General features: G+C 41.8%; 2 annotated features.

Annotated features, from left to right (window-relative positions):
- Positions 3,068 to 3,696: an enhancer, noted in NCBI's record as "OCT4-NANOG-H3K27ac-H3K4me1 hESC enhancer chrX:96894224-96894852 (GRCh37/hg19 assembly coordinates)". NCBI's record gives its function as "activates a minimal SCP1, AML or CMV promoter by ChIP-STARR-seq in naive and primed H9 embryonic stem cells {active_cell/tissue: H9 hESC(naive and primed)}" and the evidence as "EXISTENCE:reporter gene assay evidence [ECO:0000049][PMID:30033119]".
- Positions 3,697 to 4,323: an enhancer, noted in NCBI's record as "OCT4-NANOG-H3K27ac-H3K4me1 hESC enhancer chrX:96894853-96895479 (GRCh37/hg19 assembly coordinates)". NCBI's record gives its function as "activates a minimal SCP1, AML or CMV promoter by ChIP-STARR-seq in naive H9 embryonic stem cells {active_cell/tissue: H9 hESC(naive)}" and the evidence as "EXISTENCE:reporter gene assay evidence [ECO:0000049][PMID:30033119]".

Genomic DNA, 4,993 nt, shown 5'->3' on the forward strand with positions numbered 1-4,993 from the left:
GTGGTGCATGCCTGTAATCCCAACTACTCGGGAGGCTGAGGCAGGAAAATCACTTGAACCTGGAAGGCAGGGGTTCCGGTGAGCCAGGATCGTGCCATTGCACTCCAGCCTGGGTGACAGAGCAAGACTCCATCTCAAAAAAAAAAAAAAAAAAAATCTTTTCCCATTTCACTCCCAGCGTGAGTGTTTATCCTCTTAAGTTTACCCCCTAAGGAAGTTTTCACTGTCTTGCTCCTCCCTCTTTGTTAGGATGTGAGATAATATGTTTCTTCTCTGGCTTTTTCAAAGGCTCCAAGCACCTCACAGAAGAGAGAGGAGGGGAGGGGAGGGAGAGAGAGATTGATGGCACTCAAGGACAGCACTGTCTTTTGTTTGGCAGTCTCAAAATGAATTTTCCATCATCCTCTCAGTGTTTTCTATTCACCACATTTACCATGCACACTCCAACTCCACTCTCCCCAAACTCCAGGGCTGAATTAGAGCATACAACAGACAGAAGCAGTGGCTACCCAGGTCACTGCATAAGCAGGCTATTGAATTGACTCATGATTAGCTGGAAGTGCCTCGTGCCTGCCTCCTACCCTGATCTGGACATTGCGTTTCTGTGCCCAGACACACTGGGCAGGCCCTGTAGGCTTGTGCCTGGGCCCTGACCCTCTTCCTTGGAACAGCCTTGCCTCTTCAAAAGAAATTCCTTTTTGAGCTACTTTATCCATCATAAGATTAACATGACACCTCCATACGATCTATCACAGATGCTGACGCACTTGCTTCCAAGTATAAATTAGGTGTTGGGCAGTGCAGAATGCAGAGCTGTGGCTAAGAGACCCCATCTGCAGCTCACAAGGCATGGTTGATATTGGCTCCGGTAGTAAAAACCACTTTTCTGGATGGCTAGTAAATTGCCACCATAGGAGATGATAATATTTGGGAACCTTACTAACAAGCTTGAATTCTAACATAAGGCAGTTCATTGTTATGCTGCAGAATGTGAAATCTTAATGCTTTTGCTATTCAAACTCATTTTACAACATGATTTACTGCAGCTCGAAGGATGCAGCAGAAGGGAAAAAAACAGGGAGGTAGGAGGAAAGAGATAGTTGGGAGTGGAAACATGGATGAGTCCAGCTTTGTGAGCAAATTTCATTGCCACTGATAATGTAATATTTTGCTTTGATTAATGTTCTTTCTTTTTGAGTGTATGCTGCGTCCCAATAACTGTTTCTTCAGCCCAGTCACTGATTTTTTTTTTTTTTCCTGGATTCTGCTTCCAAACCAGGCATTGTGGTGTGTGCAAACCTAGGGAGAAAAGAAGGAGGAAACAATCCCTTGAGAGGTATGCTTCTGTCCAAAGACATGCTGAATATATTTGCCTTGCCAGATTCATTTTCTCCTGCCAGAAATTTTCAAACAGATGGTGGAGGAATTGGTGTTTGACCAAACAGTTGGGCAATCAACAATAGAAACTAATTGTCATAGAATTCTGCTAATGGTACCTATGCTGATACTTGCTGACAAAACGTAAGTTTTTTGGTACTAGTATCAGGGATTCTCTTCAGGAAAAATAAGTTAAAAGAGCTAAGTAGTCAAGACCAGCCTGGCCAACATGGTGAAACCCCGTCTCTACTAAAAAAATACAAAAATTAGCCGGGTGTGGTGGCGCATGCCTGTAATCCCAGCTACTCGGGAGGGTGAGGCAGGAGAATCGCTTGAACCCGGAGGAAAAGAAAAAAAAAGAGCTAATTAGGCAAATGTTTCTAGGAAATACTGACTCACTTCAGGAGGACATTATTTTAAATACAGTCCAGTGTGGGTACAGATAGTTCACCCTGTACCAGGGGACTGGCATGACTGTTGATAGCGTCTATGTGAAATAAAAACTGGCCTTAAACAGTTATTTTGTGGTCATTACACTGAGATCATTTTTACCTCTAAAGTCCTGGGTCCCTGGGATAACTCTGAATGACCAAACAAACAAAAAAAAACCCCAAGGTGTCAAAATAGGAATTTTTCAAGTTAAATAATGTGCTGAGAACTACTGTCTTCCTTAACATTGATTGTCAGAATTTTCGATTTAGCCTGCAGTCAAGTTTAGTGGGTGTGTCCCTCCACTTATATTCCAAGTGCCTATTTTCTTGTGAGTATGCATTTGAATTGAGCTCAGGGAGTCAAAAAAAAAAAAAAAAAAAAGAAAGAAAGAAAGGCAAAAACAAAAGCAAACAAACTTCTGGTAGGGTTGGTGGCATTTCCAGAAGCTTCCACAATATGGTCATGAGATGAATCTCGGTTAACTCTGAAGACAAAGAAAAACTTCATTTGAGACTATTGTTTTTCAGATAAATAAAAGGCAAGGTTGCTGGGTGCTGCCCTTATAGAGTTTTTTATTTAAACCTTCACTTGGTTTATAAAATAAAGTCCATCTGTACACTGAGGTAGCAGGAAGAGGGCAAAAGGAGACCCGTGTTTCTTGAGAGGGGTAAATACATAGAAAATCACGTTTTCCCTGCTGCCTCCTTGTGAAGAAAAACAGCTTTGAATGTATCAGCCTGTGCATCTGGACTCTCCTGAAAGATTAACTAGAAAGCCGCCCTTCCCATTTCACTTTTGTGTCTCTAGATGTGACAAAGAAAACTCACTTATGCCTTATTTGTCACCTCAGACAGTTGACAGACACTTTGCCAATGTCAGATTATTTCAGTATCTCACTACTTGTGCAAACTGGATCAAGGAGGCATTTCAGAAGGCAGCAAAAGAGAGGCCTCTAATCTTTGCCTGAGTCCATTCTACAGCTGAATGGTTCATCTACCTAACAACCTACATTGTCTGTATGTAACTTTACCCCTTACATTAAGATGTGAACGTTCATGCAGCACTGCACTATAATTTGATTTCCATAGATAGTTAGAAATAGGTAAACCCTTTGTACCGACTGGTAAGTATTCATTATGTGCTTTATCAGAGTTATAATACTGTGTAACACAATTTAAAACAAAACGAAGTATATGCACAATGAGAAAAGAAATATCCAAAACAAATGTTACTGTTTTTGGTGCAAACATTATATACAGGTTATTTTTAAAATGCAACTTTGCTTGTAAAAAAAGAAAAGAATATTAGCAAGTATTTTATTTTAATAATGGGGAATCTTAGAACAATTAATAGCGTATTGCATTCTAACAGGATTTTTATAATGAGCAGCCTTTGTACTATGTCACCTTATAGCTTCCTTTTGAATAGTGGGATCAAAGCTAGTGTGTTATTTGTCCCTGGTGAATGTAGTAGAAATAGAATCTGTGATACAAATGTTAATAACTCAACAGGCATCCCATCTGTTACAAAATCCCTTTGTTTCTTGTCCACTTCTTAGAACTCTGCCACAGACCCATCAACTTCTTGTAAGTAGCAGAGCACTTTGCTGTGATGACAGTAGTTTAACAGCAGTGAAGCAGAGGGTATCTTTTTGTGTTTATTCCACCCCTTCCAGGCCTGAACAAAAGCACCTGGCTGTGCTAGTGAACAGAGAGTGCTGCTTGCAGAGAGGGAGGAGCCCGAGGGAGTTTCAGTGGTCCGGGAGACAATGGCATCAGGGACCTCTGCTGCTGCCTACAGATTCACATGCAGTATTGGCAATCTCAGGTCGGCTGTCGGTTTCACAGTAAGTAATGGCATGAGGGTAAAAGAGAGGAAGTGGCTGAGACTTGAGCTGGAATCGTAGGGCTTAAATAACTTAAAAACAGCCAGGATGCACAAAACACTTATGATTTTGCCTCAGGTTTGTTATCACATCCGTTCTCAAGAGACTCACTAGTGAGATTCAGATCTTTCTTTGTGGGCAGCTGGTAGAGGTCTTATGAGCCCTAATTCCCCCAGTAATCTTAGAGGGGGATGTCTGGCCAACCCAGTGGAGAACCTTCGAGTGAACTACAAAGAATACAGCAGAGGAGGGAGAGCTTTACTTGGCTGTCAGCTTTGCCACCTGTTTATTATAAATTGCTGACCATGTAGCCAAGAGCGTGAATTTTGTCATTAGCCAGACCTGGGTTCAAATCCTAACTTGGACACTTTCTCTTGGGCAAGCTGCTTAACCTCTCTAAGTGTCACTTTTCTGATTAATATATCAACGTAAATCACCCTGGGATTGTTAGGATTAAACTAAAAAATTGTGAAAAACAGTCAGTAGACTAACACATACTAAGTGCCCAATAAATGGGTATTTTATTATTATTATGAATGAAAATTATGTATCCCCTGTATCAACTGGGGTAAGCAGTATTACTCTAATTCAATATCTTGCTCTAGGAAACAGGAAATTTTTTTGAGAGTAGCGTAAAGGGCAACATGCTGACCTGTCTTTACTGAGAGTTTGAAACCTCTAAGTGGAACACAAAGTGAAATAGTTTGCAGGGATTCCATAACGCTGGTCAAGTGAGTGTTTTCAAAACACCTGGGAAGCTGTCTTTTTTTTTTTTTTTTTTTTTTTTTGAGACAGAGTCTTGCTCTGTTGCCCATGCTGGAGTGCCATGGTGCGATCTCTGCTCACTGCAACCTCTGCCTCCCGGGTTCAAGCAATTCTCCTGCCTCAGCGTCCCAAGTAGCTGGGGTTACAGGTGCCCTCCACCACGCCCATCTAACTTTTTTTTTTTTTTTGTATTTTTAGTAAAGATGGGGTTTCACCATGTTGGCCAGGCTGGTCTGGAACTCCTGACCGCAGGCGATCCACCCACCTCGGCTTCCCAAAGTGCTGGGCTTACCAGGCGTGAGCCACTGCGCCTGGCCGGAAGCTTTCTAAAAATAAATATTCCTGGGACCTGCCTCCAGATGATCTAACACAAAATTAGACAAAGAATGTCCATTTGTAAGAAGTTTCACTAAGTGCTTCTAACAAAACTAGACTGGAACCACTGGTTGAGGGTATTTGTCCCAGGATTTCCAAATATGTAGCATGAAGGACAATAGGCCACGGTAAGAAACTTGATGCGAACCTGGAAGTGGG

Source organism: Homo sapiens, chromosome X (genome assembly GCF_000001405.40).
Source record: "Homo sapiens chromosome X, GRCh38.p14 Primary Assembly".
NCBI classification, from domain to species: domain Eukaryota; kingdom Metazoa; phylum Chordata; class Mammalia; order Primates; family Hominidae; genus Homo; species Homo sapiens.